We start from the raw sequence: 15,433 nt of genomic DNA, 5'->3' as shown, positions 1-15,433 counted from the left end.
AGGAATTATCATCTTAACATATTTATCAGAATTTTTTTCTTTTTAAGGCTAAATAATATTTCACTGTAAATATATACCACATTTTGTTTACTCATTCATCTATTGATGGACATTTAGGTTGCAAAAGCTTGTGTTTTCTATGAATGAAAAAAATGATTGAGAATCAAATCTTGCCCATTAATGGTTGGCTTTTAACCCACCTATTAGGATATGTCAAACAAGTATTGTTCTATGTATATAAAACCCTCTTTTTAAAATTTTGTTAGTTTTGAAAATTTAGGAGGGAGAATTTCTTCTCCAATGAAAAGTCAAAAAAGAAACTAACCTTTATTGAGTGTTTACTCTGTGCCACACAGTCTTGCAAACATGTCATATTTTGCAAGTGAGTAAAGAACACTCCATAGAAGTGAGGTTATTATAGCCTGAGAAGGTTCAGGGGGAGGGGAGAATAGGGAAAGGTTGGTTAAAGGATACAAAATTACAACTAACTAGGAGGAATGGGTTCTAGTGTTATGTAGCACTGTAGGCGGAATGTGATTAACAGTAATTTATTATATATTTTTAAAAAGAGAAGATTTTGGATATTCCTAACACAAAAAAAATAAGAAATATTTGAGGTGATGTATGTACTAATTACTTTGATTTGGTCATTACACATTGCATACATCTATTGAAGTATACCTCTCTATCCCATAAGTATGTATGATTATTACATGCCAACTAAAAATAAAAGAGGGGAAAAAAAGAAAAGAATACTCTTTCATAATTTGATCAGTGACACTGTGATGATACTGAGGGGTTGTCAGGTGCCGGGCACTGTGTGGTTGCTGAAACTGTGACCCAAGCAAAGATGTCCCATCCAAGCCTCAACACTTTACATCACTAACAACTTTGCATGTTGATTTTTTACGTATTTTTATTCTAACATTCTTGACTCCCAGGACAGGTGAATTATATATTTGTTATGACATTTTTCTAGAAGGCAGCCATAAGATATCATGGTCTCGTGAAATCAGTATATTACAACAGTCCTGACAATGGATGTAAAATAACTTTACTTTTAACTTAAAGAATTAGCACAACAATCAATCTTGTTAATCTAATAACATCTAAAATAACCCGTACTTCTAAATAGATTCTGTGAGCAATGAACTCAGAGATGAGGACTTTTAAGTGTAAAATTTAAAAAAGAAACCTTATCAGTAATGCTATAGTGGCAATATTTAATGTTCTGCTTGATGTTCATATAGTCTATTGTTTTTAAGGTACCAGAATGAAATTGCTGGGTCTCCAGTTTACATTGACAATTACTTTTATTAAAACACAAATCATTATGTAATAACCATTAACTGTTTATCATAAATGATCCATAAAGTTTTATTTAAATGTGTTATAAACATTTTATACGTTGTTATGGAAAATTAATCCAGTAGAAAATAATTGATACCAAAATTTAAATGTAGAATTTAAGTGAAATATAAATGCAGAAATTATTTCAAAGTGTGAAAAAATTCTAAGATAAAATGTTAAGCTGTCATAAAGTTTAGCCCAATATAAAAAAGATAATATAAAAATATTTCAGTCCAAAATAGAAAATGAAAGCTATCAGAGGGGGAAAAAAAGAAAGCTAATTGTTCAATCAAGTATTGGAGAAAACAGACAAAATGTCAGAAAAAAGGAACAGGCACCAGAGTCACTGTCTGGGCAAATTCCAGCCGAGGCCCTTTACTTACAGAGCAGGGTATGCACTTGCTGTCTATTCCCATGTCAGTAAAGTGGATGGATTTCTAAAAAAATTAGAAGAAAGAGACCCAAAGAATTCATTCATTCAAATATACTCTCTGTCATATCAGGTAGTGGCCCAGTGATCCAAATATTCAACAAAGGGAGATTCAGCCCTTATTGGAAATAGTCTTCCTCAGGGAGACTTGCTGGCTTTCCAAAGACAGAGCAGGAAAGACACTGCCAGGAATTCAGTGCATGTGACTCGTTCTAAGAGGTAGGGGAAAATCACTGCCACTTAGGTTCTTTATCATCCTCAAAATTCAATATTTCTTTTGGTTTTTTTGCAAATAATGGGAGAAGAAAAATAAGTAAAAATATGAATGGGGCAAAGATTGGCACAAGCTAGCGCTAGTCTCGGAGCTGGGAGGGTCCTTGAAGGTCATTCTGAGTTGGCCAAGATGTCCAGGCTTGAGGTCATTCACGGCCACCAGTCGTTGGATGTGGGAAGCTATGACCTGAGGCCAGGGGCTCCAGGCAGCTGAGGCTTCCCTGAAGGGCCCTCCAGCAGCCAGAGCAACATGTCCTCCCTTGAAAGCGGATGAGAGAGCACATCACAGCTTCCCCCACAGGCTGCCACCATACCCCAAGTTGATCTGACTGAGCCAAAAACAGGAGCCGGAGTGGGAGTGGACAGATGGGATTTTTATGAAAAGAGGCTCGATTTTCATTAGTGGTAGCAGAGACTAGAGAGGAAAGGCAAATGAAGCCACTGAGAGTCGTTGGAAATCCATGCAAGTTTCTGAATTTAGATGCCAACTCAAGTATTCATCGGTAATGAGAATTATAATTTGAATTTTCCTTTAGCAACAAGTTTTCTTTTTCTTTTTAGGCAATTAGTTAAGATTGGGTTATTTGATTTTAAATATATGAATGATAGCAATTTTATATACATTTATATAATTTGTATCTAAATGAATACATATGCTTCTATTGTGGGAGAGAAAAGTAAATTGATGTTACATTAGGATGTGGGTAGTGGGTGAAAAGTACTGTATATATCCCAGCAAACTCATCTTTACTTCTTAACAGTAATCCCAGACTTTTTCTGGTTAACTAGTTACATAGGTCTTAGGACTTTTGGAAAGACACTTTTTGCCTTTTTAATTTTATTTCACTAACTTCAGATCTGTTGCATGGGGGATGGGAAGACAGATTGCCAAGGCTGTGGTGTGGCCAGAAATGCCTCAGTTCTCTCTGTGCCACAGGGTGCAGCCCTCGAGGCAGGCATGACAGTGTTCCAGGGGCTTCTGTCATCCCGAGAGCCTGCCCAGGCACCCAGAAATCCTTCTGTGAATGCCTGACACCAGCTTAATTTGGGAACCACTCCTAAGAGCATGGAAATGGGCTTTGCTAGGCTAACAGACCCTCCAGGGAGGTCGACCATCTCTACATTTTCTCGTATCTTGAGTACCACTGACGTCATCAACAGAATCCCACCTCTGACTCCCAGTGTGCTGTTTGGCAAAGCTTCTGGCATTGGCGGAGGTGTAGATAGCAGGAGCACTCTCAGCAGCTACCACTGGCCAGCCTGTGGCTGTTTAGATTCTGGCTTAGCACCCCTGGAGTGTGACGGTCAGGGCCACAAAAGCACTGGGGTAGGACTTAAGCTCCGAACTCCCTGCTTGTGATCATGCCGCCCAGACTAAAGTACAGTCCGTTTCCCTCATTCACTCTAGTTATGTTCTATGAAGTTGCTGCAAACACTGTATTAGCAACCCACTGCTCCTAAAGGAAATATAGAGTTAAGTTCCTGCAAGCCTCTGGTCACAACATTTCCACAATGGATCCATACATTGTATTATGAGTGTTTCCACTTACTTAAATAAGAAGACACCTTATTTCCTATATAGGGTTGATTCATTTACCATGAAGTCATAGCAAACAGCAGTTTGAAGAAAGCTTGTCTAACACATCTTGTTTTCTCTGTAAGGTGCATCCCAGCTTTCCCAGGCTTAGGGACAATAGCCAGTACTTCAGCACCATGTTTGAGGGCCATTTTCAATAGTAAAATTACCATTAAAAAGCACAAAAATGTAAAAAAAAAATCATGTCACTGAATGGACTACAGAAGAACACTCATATATAGTCTGAGAGCTAAAACAGGAAGGCAGAATGGGAGCTTGTTCCACCTCATCTGAGAATAGGTACTTTGGATGACTCAAATTTTTGCCACACTATGCATGTCTGTGAATGGGTGCAAAAAGGCATGAATGAAGATGTGGGGGTTCCAAACAAATTTTAGAGAATAGGTCAGAAATATGGAACTCATATTGAAAATAGACTTTACTAAAATATAGACATTAGAGCAGCGGGAAAGAGGGCTCAGAAACAGCTGTCAGAATACATGGTAACAGGTATGATTAACCTCTTGAATAATAAGAAAAATTCTATTAAGAACCTAACTTATATAACCTCACAGCACATGGTTTTTTAAAAATACGATTGCTAGATGACAGCGGTGATCAACTGGGTATTTTCTGAGCTAAGCAACAACTTTTGCATTCCTTTTTTTTCTGTTAACAGTACATATTCATTAAGAAATAAAGATTTACAGAATAAAGTATAGCATAGACAGTGGATATTTCCCTGATCCCAACCCCAGAGGTGACCATAACTGACTGACTGGAGAATTTGCTTTCAGAATGTTTTCCATGGATAGCCCTATGTGATTATTATTTTATAAAATGGGGATGTTTCTCTATGGTTCTTTATTCACTTAAAATATCATGGAGAATTTTCTATTTTAGGCTAAGTGCATGAATCTTGGTACTTTTAGCAGATATCTAGCATATGAAATAGTTTATCTCAACGATCCTCTTTGGAAGGGCATTTGTGGTGTTTCAAGAAAGTCTGGAACATTGCTCTCTCATATAAAACTGCAATGACTGTGGTTGAACAGATCTTTGCAAAATTGCATGTTTTTCAATAGAAGGAACACACAGAAGTAGAATTACTAAGTGAAAAGGATATGACCATTTGAATATTACTAGTTAGTTTTAAAAAAAAAGTTTTTATCCATTTTGCTGTATTCAAATTCTGCTAGCCACTAAATACTCTCTAGTTTGAGTGTATTTCAAGTTTGAGGAATATTTTCAGAAACTTCAGGCACCCATCCCAGTGGTCAGAGGGCAATGTGTCCCCGTTACGGTTGCATCCAGAGTCCTGAGGACAGCCCCCTGGGTTGTTAGAGGACAGACCACCTGGCATATACTTGACCTCTCTGTGCCTTGATTGCCTAAAGTGGAAATGATAACATCCACTTCCAAGATTGTTGGGAGGATTAACATGAACGTGGAAGATTGGAAGTGCTTAGAGCATAGCCCACAGGAAGCATAGAGATTAAAGTGTCATTCTTTCACTGTTATCTCAAGTAACTAACAAGAATTCACTTTTACAGAAAAATATTGTTCTATTTCTAACTTGGTTTCATCTGCTAGACCACTAAGAGTTGGTAGAAGGATATCAGTCTTGCTCTCAGCTTTGCAGGCTGGCCCCAGTGACAACTGTGCAGGAATAGGAATATACCTTTGATTCTTGTTCTCTCTTTGAGTTACTCTCTGCCCTCTTCTTGGAACACCCTACCTTCCTCCCTAGCACTCTCCACCCTGTATCCTGATCAATTTCTTCTTAAATACTCCTTCAAGCCTTATTTCAATGCAATGCAGGAGTGGGGATGTACAGATGCCATCTAGATTCAAAGCACGAAGTTATAATAGGGTTATTGGGGTGGTGAAGATACTATGTGGTGGTCCTACTCAAAGCCCCCTCAATTTCAAGACGCAGCTTTCCTCCATGCATCTGAACCCAAGGAGGGTGACTATTAGAATTTGGTCAGCTTCAGGGCCCACATAGGCTGTCTTCAGCCATCTTTCCATAAATTACACTGATTTCTGCTTTCTCTTAATAAATCCTGCTGCTTCATAACAAACAGTAAAACCTGGTTTCTGAGTAAATGTTTGAAATATTTATTTTCTAAAGACAAATTGCAGGCATAAATGCATCTTCTTACCATTCCTTCCCCTCACTTTTGCAGCAGCTAAGCCAGCTCCATCTCCCTTTGTTTTGTATTCAAAGCACAAGAATAGTGTCCATGAATATCAGCTCAAAGAGACTGAAGGGATTTTAGGTGGAATATCTTAACCCCAGGAGTGTGGCCCACGCCAGGGTGGTCACAATGTTTGTTTAGTAGGTTGGGCTGGGGGTTGAAAACCAGAGACTAAAATGCTATAACGGCCTGGATTTGAGGGGTTGAAAATATTTCACATTTGGTACAGGCACCAGGAAACTACTTATTTTGCTTGAATGTCTTATTGTTCATTTGGTCAAGTGGGGTTAGGATTCAGGACATACTGGGGAGATAATTTTTATGCATCGATTTGAAATTGCCTCCAACAGCTCATAATACCAGCTGCATGATACTACATCCTGCACCCTACTCATGCCAGAGGAATAGACGGCTCCCTTAACACACCTGCCTTTCTTTCCTGGCTTTATTTTATTCACCAAGATAAGTAGGAAAGCAGATAGATTAGATAGATAGATAGATAGATAGATAGATAGATAGATAGATAGATAGATAAATAGATAGATAGATAATCAGATGGATAAATAAACATATAGATCAATGGATTGATAGATAAAATAGAAACATATTAGAAGATTTTTTAAAAATTTTTTATTTATAAGAACAAGACACCCTGAGTTATTCCTGTAAAGTTCAGAATGGGCAGAGAGTATCTCATTCTTAAATAAGAGAAGGGAGCTGAGAAACTTCTGTGCAGTAAAATGACTGTTGGTACTAAGACCTATGGATAATTTTTAAAGCATAGTAAGCTAACAAAAAAGTTATAAGAAACTGTTTGGAGGGATTTAAAATTTCAGGATTTTAGATACAAGAGAAGTATAGCCCCTGCCCCGAATGCTTTTATCAGGGCTTTCCAAGAGGAGCAGGCCAACCAAAGCTCCCTTAAAGCCAGCATCTGCCTCCAAAATCCGCCTGGAGTTTCAGCCAGCCTCTGCCACCAAAAGGAGCCAGGGTGGCGTGCACAGCTCTCATAAAAAGGTGCCAATCTGGGGTTTGGCCCGGACTAAATCCGACTGAGATAGAAAGCAGTGACCCTGTAATTGGACGACTTCCCCTGTGTCCAGACCACCATAGAGACTGCTGGGCTGCACAAGCTTCCCGGATCGCAGTTCACCAGGGGTCACCTTCATGCTGTGAGAACAAAGTCCGACTGAGCCCAGGGCCCCAGCTGCATGGTTCTGCTGTGTAAACACAGCGCAGACAACAGGACGACCAAATGTTAGGGTCCCTGTGTGATCCATTGTTGGATTATAGACATGGCCATAGACTCCGTTTCCAACTGCCCCTACTTCTCTCTTGTCTTTCTGTCTCCTCTTCTACCTCATTTGTTGGCTTCTAAACATCCTCTAACAGGACAAATCTTTGGCTGTTTTGCCTTTTTTGTTTTCCAAGCCAGGGTTCCCACTGCACCCCAAACAAGCCCAGTACTTTTAACAGGCACGGCCTCAGCAGAGGTGGCCCCACTGAGGCCTGCATGGTCACACGATGAATATTTTCTCATTTGTCCCCATGAACAAAACTTGCTTAAAATCAGGTGTGGGAGGAGGAGGTTAGGAAAAGGGCTGCCTCTCCTCTTCCTTTTAATCAACCAACTCATCTTTAACTGCCGCCATTCCCGTCCTCTCTGCCAGGCCCCGGCTAATAGAAACTCGGAATGCAGGTTCATACCCCTGCTCTTAGGTGTTCGAGGATGCACTCTGGGAAGCGCCGCTGCATCCATCACTGTCGGTGGCTACTTGAGAAACGCCGTGATGGACTGGCCCGGCAAAGCCCCTCCCCACTGCCCGCAGGCTGCAATTCAATTAGTCATGGTCAGAGGGAGGCATTATTATTCATACACCAACGATTGTTCCCAAAGTAAACAGAGCTGGGATGAGGTCTCTGATCCTCCCAGTGCCTTTAGCTGGGACACAAAAGAAAAAAAACTCCAGAGACACTGGGGTGGGACATTTGATCTGAATTCTGATCTCCTTTGCAAGCTTCCCCATCAAATCTTGTTGATTTCTTTCTTTGCTTCTTTCTTTTTTCACAGTCTTCACAGATAAGTGCCCTGTGTGTGCATACGCAAACCCAGCAGGGCCATTTTATTCCTTTATTGCCAACAATGCCAGAAAGTCTCTTCCACCCAGGACACCCCCCACCACTTTATAATAGGGACATGGATCCCTTAACTGGAGTGAATGATCCTGTTAGAATATAACAGACCAATAACTTCCTAATTCACAATAAATAATCCCTGTAAAAATAAAGGATGACATTTGTATTTTGTAAAGTGCTAACCAAATTGCCCGTGGCCTGGCCAGCCCCCATCTGTTTATCAGTTTTGCTGAGTACAAGTGAACCCAAGATAAATGCCAGTTTTCCTTGGATAAATTTTACAGCCAAGCAGAAACTGCCAAAGCACACAGGAGAGGTAAAAGCAGAGCTGTGTTCTCATTGACAGAAAAGTCAATTTTGCAGGATGGACTTAGGCAAGAGCCTGTGACCCCCGCCCCAACTCAAGTTTGTATGTTTATAATAGGGCTGTTTTCTCTGGGAGGGAATGAGCCAACTCCGGGAGCTGAAAGTTCAATGGAGCAGGCTGGCTGGGGCTTCCCAGCTGCAGGGGGAAGAAACAGCCCTGCCTGCTCACTCTGTTTTGCAGGAGTGAGCGTCATGCACCCTGGCCCAGACAGGGTGATAAACTTGGGGTGTCTGGATAACCCACATGCTCATTTTCACTTTCGCTGCATCTGACCCTCTGAGGATCACTGCACTGGGACACTTGACCAAGCCATGCGTTTAGACACAACACCTTAGCACCTCATTCTGCTCCGGAGAGCCTCAGAGCGTCCAGCTGATATGACGGAAACCCCTTGTGCAGAGTCACCTAGAGCCTTTAAGAAACATGAATTCTCAGGCCTGACCCCAGACCACTGAACCAGAATCTCTGGGGGCCAGGGCCTTGTCATTTGTGATTCACAACAAATCACTATGGGAGGCTGTCCAGACCCCCCTTTAAAGAAAGACTTTAAGGAATAAATCTCAGCTGCTAAGAGTTTCACTGGCAGACAGTTTTCACTATCAGCCCCTTCAGAAATGGGTCAGCTGTGGAGAGCCACCTGGAGCCCGTGCTCAGGCCCCTTTGGGCAGGTCATCCAGTGGCTGATAAATGGATGTGCACATAGGCTCTGTAGCTTGGCCCCACTCAGGACTACTCTGAAGGAACAATCCACTTCAGAATGCCCAGTAGTATCCACTGTGGCTCCCTTCCACAGATATTGGTCCCAGAGCCTCTCCTGAATAAATATCCTGCAAGTTAAACTCCATCTCAGAGGGAGAACCTTATTGCCAGGCTTGGAGAATGATGATCTAGAAAACACTGTTCTTGTCCAACACTCAACCCATCCATAAATTCTCTCCATAATATCACAAACAGCTGGGCACCTAGCCCCAGCCTGGCAAGCCAGAGGAAAGAATCCATCAGCTTCTGATCCAGTCCCTCTGGACAACACTGGGAGGAATAAGTTGGGCCCCTTAATTCTCTTGCTTTCCATAGAAAATTGAAGAGCCCTGGAGTTCTACTGCTGGCTCCACTATTAGAGATGGGTTGAATGATTCAAATTACTTGGCCTCTGTTTTTCCTCTGTAGAAATACAGAAATGGTGAGGGATTTTGGAGACAGAATGAAAAAACAATTACCTCCTAGACTTTTTCCTGTTCTACCATCGGTGACCCATGGAAAGAAGAAAGGGAGGGAGGACCGGAAGGAAGCAATGTGCTGAAGACCTGCTCCTCTCATCAAGAGGTGGCATCAACTTCCCTCCCATGGAACAGGGCTGGGTTTAGTGACTCACTTCTAATGAGTAGGATGGGGCAGAAGTGGCGCTGCATGACTTCCAAGGCTAGATTGTAAAAGGCAATACAGTTTCCACCTGGTGCTCTCTCTTAGGACACACACTTCAAAAGATTTGAGCCCCCAGGTAAGAGACCATATGGGGAGACCACATAGAGACAGGGAGGCCCAAGGAGGCCAGCTGTTTGAGTCTTCTGTGAGCTAACACCAGCCCCAGTCACTGTCCAACTGTTCCTACATGAGAGACCCTGAGTGAGAACTGCCCGGCTAAACTTAGTCAACTTGCAGAATCATGATCAATAATAATAATAAACGGTTTGTGTGGTTTTACAGTAAACTTGGGGTGGTTATTACATAGCAATAGTTGAGCTGGGGTGAATAAGAGATCTTAAAGCAGAGATCCATATTTATTCATAACATTGAGAATAACTTGACAAATATACATACCCACATATTTATGTGTGTGTGTATGCATATATATGTATATATATATAAAATTTGGAAGAAGGTAAACCTGGTTCTAAAACTACTCAAACAAAACAAACTCAAGTTGTAGTCATGAGATTTTTCTCACAGGCCTCAGTGAGGACAGGTCAAGCACTGATGAGGCAGAGACTGGGCCTTTGTCCACACGCCAATGACTGGCCTACCTCGTCTGTCTAAAGATATTTAAGAGCTGTAATAACCAAGCAGATGTCACATCTACATGCTCAGCATATGCACTCATCTCCACAGGGATGCCAGTGATGCTCACTGGAGCCTGTTTTCTCCATTTGACATAGTTGTTCTAGGCCAGGCACAGTGGCTCACACCTGTAATCCCAGCACTTTGGGAGGCCGAGGCCGGTGGATCACCTGAGGTCTGGAGTTTGAGACCAGTCTTGCCAACATGACGAAACCCTGTCTCTACTAAAAATACAACAAATTATCTGGGATGGTGGCAGGAACCTGTAATCCCAGCTACTCAGGAAGCTGAGGCAGGAGAATGGCTTGAACCTGGGAGGCAGATGTTGCAGTGAGCCAAGATCACACCACAAGAGTGAAATTCCATCAAAAAAAAAAAAAAGACATAGTTGTTCTAATTTAGGTTGCATTTGAAATGGTAATTTTCAGCATGGGCAGAGGCTGCTTCCTGTAAGCACTGAAGAATGTTTACTAACACACTGCTTTTGTTAAGCTGCTATATAAAAAATACCACAGACTAGGAGGCCTAAACAATAGACATTTATTTCTCACAGTTCTAGGGGCTGGGAAGTCCAAGAACAAAGTGCTGGCCCCTTTAGTTCCTGCTGAGGGTCCTTATCTGAGCTTGCAGGCAGCCACCGTTTTGCTGTGTCCCCACCAGGTGAAGAGAGATGGAGCTCCAGCATCTCTTCCTCTTCTAATAAGACCATTAATGTCATCATGGGACCCCGCCTCATGATTTAATCTAAACCTAATGACCTCCCAAAGGCCCTGCCTCCTAATACCATTACTTTGGGGGTTAGGGCTTCAGTATATGAATTTGGGGGAGCACAAATGTACAGTCCATAACACACACCAAAAGCATAATTATTAAACTTTTATTAAAATGGTCCTGAAGTTTTATTTTTAAATAATTCAGATTTGAGGTATTGTGTTTAAAATAACAGAATTGTGCTTAAGCCTTTGGAATGATAGCCACCCATAATCACTAAAGATTTTGAAAGTCTTACTGCTTGAAAGGGGATGACTTTTCAATTGTCTTGACATTAGCGCTCCATGCTGCTATCTCCAGACACTGTAATTGTAAAAGGCTTACCATCATCCTTGCTGCTGAGTTTATTGTCACCCCAACAGACACTTGATTTTTTTTTTTGGTTATGCTGCTCCTAGGCACAACATGGGAAGAAATCCACAATTAAGGGAAACATGAGTTTTAGTTCTTTCCTCATGGTACCACCAAGGGAAGGGGTGAGAGGAAGATCAGAGAGCAAAACTTTTAAAGCCAATTAGGGGTGTTTTAATCATTTCGTTCACAACTTAGAGAGAAACTGCAACATGTGTGGATTGTGTAACCAGAGCTGCTACAGGCCTAATCCCTGCCAAGGCAGAGCTGGAACAGTGGCCTCCTGACTCCCAGTCCAGGGCTTTTTATATTTTGTGAGTCTCACTAAAACTGCAGTCATAGAAATGAATGTATTCTCTGCATACTTATGACAGGTCAGGCTAAGGGCAAAACTCTGAAATTCTGGGAATAAAGGGAATGCATTAGATCTTTTCTTATTATCTGCCTTATGCTATCTCCCCATTTTCCACCTCAGTAACTCACATGTTCCCCAGCCCACTCTTTCATCCCTGGTGATGGACATTGGAAGGTGTGCAAGAGAAGTTGGGCTGCCCTGTTGTGGAGGGAGGGCTCTAGAGGAAACTTACAGAGCCATTGTGAGTATCTCAAGCTCTGTCAGTTATTAACTCCTGACTGAGCATTCCAGACTTACAGTCAGCTTAAATACATTTCCTAAATTCTTCAAACAGCTTGACCTTCCTAAATCGCGAAGTTGACTTTGCATTTACTTCCATGGTCCTAGTTTTGTTTTTGGTTTTGCTTTGCTTTTTGCTTAGCATTATTTATTTACTTTAGAAGTAGAAAAACACATTCTAGAATTTGTCTCTCTTGTTGCTGCAGGAAGGTTACTCTGTCCCGCATTAGATTTATGGACAAATTTGTAATGTCAACAAAATGTGGACATCCTTTAACATCATTAGAGTGGGTTAGTAAAACAATCTAGTTGCTTTGTGCTTCTAATTTGCCTTAGTTGAAAACAGTTTGTGGTCTTCAGAAAAGTAACTCGCATTTGATCTTTAAGAGCAGAAAAGGTTTTACTTTAGTTTATTAGAAAACTAGGCCAATTTTTTCTGTAAAACCTAATTTGGGGATGAATATGGGAGTACTTATAAGTGGAAATATTTGTGTCTGTGTGTGTGCTCATGTGCATGTGTACACACATATGTAGATCAAAGTATTTTTACTTTTTGAAGAAGACGTGTAAAATATATATATGTGTGTGTGTGAAATATAAATATATATATATACATTGATTTTTCCAATTATTCTGGAACTTATTTGCAAGTAAACTTCAGATCTATTAAATGTTAGCACTCTCCATTCCTAGTGCTCAACCATCAGCCTAGCATTTTTTATAGTAATACACTGATACCAGCTTGCCATAACCCTGGTAGTGGTCCAGACTTACATTCTCGCTTTAAAGTGTCTTTTCACCCCTGCTCTGAAGGCCAGTGTTCTGTTTGACTGGCTCGTCATCATTTTTTCTAGTTATTTCTCACCAAAAAGTGAACCTATGGTCTTTGGCTTGTGTCAGCTACCCAGAGTGCAGGAGAGAGAGGCTGTGAAGGGGAAGGCGTGCAGAAATAGAAAATGGTAGACTGGAGGGACTATGGGTTCAAGGTTGAAATATAACAAAGAAACCCAGTGCCAGCCTGTGATGGCAGTTTGGGCAAGATTTCCAATGGTTTTAAGACTCAGTTTACCTATATGACTCATCTGTATCTGAAATAATGCCTATCTCCAAGGCCACTGTGATATTTAATTTAATATTTTATGTGAAATAGTTAGCTTAGCATGTAGAGGAAACTAAGCATTCCATTGGTGTGTACATATGTAGCACTTCCTAACCCTCTTTCACATATGTGTCTGCATGCCTGCCTGTGGGTAGTCTGGGTGTAAGTGTGCGTGCACGTATAATTGCATGTATCGTAAGTACACAGATAGATGCATGTATGTGTGTACCTGAGTATATGTGTCTTCATGTGTGTGTATGTGTGTGAATGTGTGCATGTCTGGTTATACGTAGCAATCACTGCAGCTGAAAGGAATGTGAGCTTGAGGAGAGGCTTAGAGACTGAACAGAACAGAACTTTCATCGCTTCTTAATTTTTCCCTGGTTGGCCCTGTCATCAGGAGATTCATAACTTAATTCATAGAGATGTTAAAAATGCTCAAAGGATAATGCAATAAGATTACTTGGTCTTTTTTTTTTTACAGTGCATTTAAGAGTAATTAAGGAGTTGGTACTTTTTAAAGAAAGGGATGTGGAAATTCGTTTATTTATTTATTCAATCAGGATATTTGGGATGTCCACGATATGCTAGGCACCAGGAAAAAAGTTGAATCAGTAGAATAGGTTAAATATCTGGTCCCACCTCAGGGAGCACACCTTTCCTGGGGAAACAGAGAGGTGTAGATAAACATCTACCCTATCCTGTAATACGACCTATTATAGCAGCAAAATATGCAGCAGTAGCAGAAAAGAGAGAGTGATTAGTTTGTCCTGCTATAGTCAGTGAGGGCTTCTGAAGACGTGGTATTTAGGCTGAGAATCAGGGATAAGAAGGCTCTGTCTAAGTGGAGGAAAGTCAAGACAGAAGGTAGAAGAAATGCAAAGACATGGGGGCTTGAGAAAGTCATGCAGTGTTGAGAAATAACAGTGATTTAGTGCCACTGGTGAGTATGGAAGAGGTGATCAGAAGCCCAGCCATGAAGGGCTTCCTCAGGCCCGTGGTAAAGGGTTGTTGCTTTCTTCCTGGAAGAGATCAAGAAAGAGCCAGCTAAATTACCAAGAACTGAGTAGACTATGATGAGATCAGCTGCGCATTTTGGAAGGATAAGTAGTGGTGGTGTGAGGATGAAGTGGAGTAGGAAGTGAGGAATCACTCCACAGTGCGGTGAAGGACTGGACAATGACCAGGAAAAGAGAGGGAGGAAGAACACCTGAGATGCATTCGAGACATAATTGTTAGGAATTGTCGACAAGAAAGAGAAATCATCAAAGCCACTCACATTTCTGACTTGGGCAATTTGTCAGTGGTGGTGCAACAAGTGAAAACAATAGCACATGGACGAGACAGTATGGACATTGGACAATGAAGTGAATTCAGCTCATGAATTTAGTTCAAAATATTTGACTTAGAAACACTTTATACATTCTGGTAGAAACCCCCAAATTTCCTGATATTATCTCTATGAATTGGGTAAGCATTTGAACAATTTAAGAATCATTTGAAAACCTGGGACTGAATTTAACCAACCGTAAACCTGTGGAGTAAGAACAGATTTTCTGAAACCCAAATTCACTTAAAAATGACATTTGTGTATGTGTGCACACGTACACAGATATATTTGTATATATTCTGTCCCTTGCTTTCCCTGACTAACCTTCAGATTTAGCAGTTCTCCCTTCCTATGTTGAATTGTGTATATTTGTATGTGCACCTATGTGTGTGCGTATCTGTGTATGTGTGTCTCTGTGTGTGTGTGCTTGTATGTAGGGTTTATAATTTAAGGCTCAAGGACTACGGGATACAAGTTTTTCCAAAACTCTGAAATTACATCCCTATTTTATGAATAGGAACAGATTCATATTGTGTCTGAAGAGGAAGATCACAGCTTTCCTAAAGGAACCATTAAAAAAAAGTTTCAGAAACACTGTCTGGAATCATTTTGTTCATTTCACCATTCAATGTATGGGAGAAATTGGAATCCCATTGCGGGGTGGAGATACTTGTTCAAGGACAAAAAACAATTTTATTAACCACAAGAATCTCATTCATTAATCCCAAAAGACTTTTGATCCAGATGGGACCTTTTCTTTCATGGAGTATGTTGAATTGTAACAAACTCAGCTATGACTGATTATTGCTTTTGACAGATTCTACATTGCTTCTCATGGCAAACTGGTGGAAATAATTCCA

The 15,433-nt window shown here is 40.9% G+C and overlaps 2 annotated features.

Moving 5' to 3' along the window:
* Positions 6,984-7,128: an enhancer, noted in NCBI's record as "145 bp enhancer 246 fragment used in the MPRA reporter construct; PK_construct_1089". NCBI's record gives its function as "activates an SV40 promoter by MPRA in HepG2 cells {active_cell/tissue: HepG2}" and the evidence as "EXISTENCE:reporter gene assay evidence [ECO:0000049][PMID:23512712]".
* Positions 7,050-7,061: a transcriptional cis regulatory region, noted in NCBI's record as "FOXA motif; enhancer activity is reduced when this motif is scrambled". NCBI's record gives its function as "necessary for full MPRA enhancer 246 activity {active_cell/tissue: HepG2}" and the evidence as "EXISTENCE:site-directed mutagenesis evidence [ECO:0005528][PMID:23512712]".

The sequence above is a fragment of the Homo sapiens genome, chromosome 20, assembly GCF_000001405.40.
Source record: "Homo sapiens chromosome 20, GRCh38.p14 Primary Assembly".
In the NCBI taxonomy this organism is placed as follows: domain Eukaryota; kingdom Metazoa; phylum Chordata; class Mammalia; order Primates; family Hominidae; genus Homo; species Homo sapiens.
This window is presented reverse-complemented; position numbering and strand designations above follow the sequence as displayed.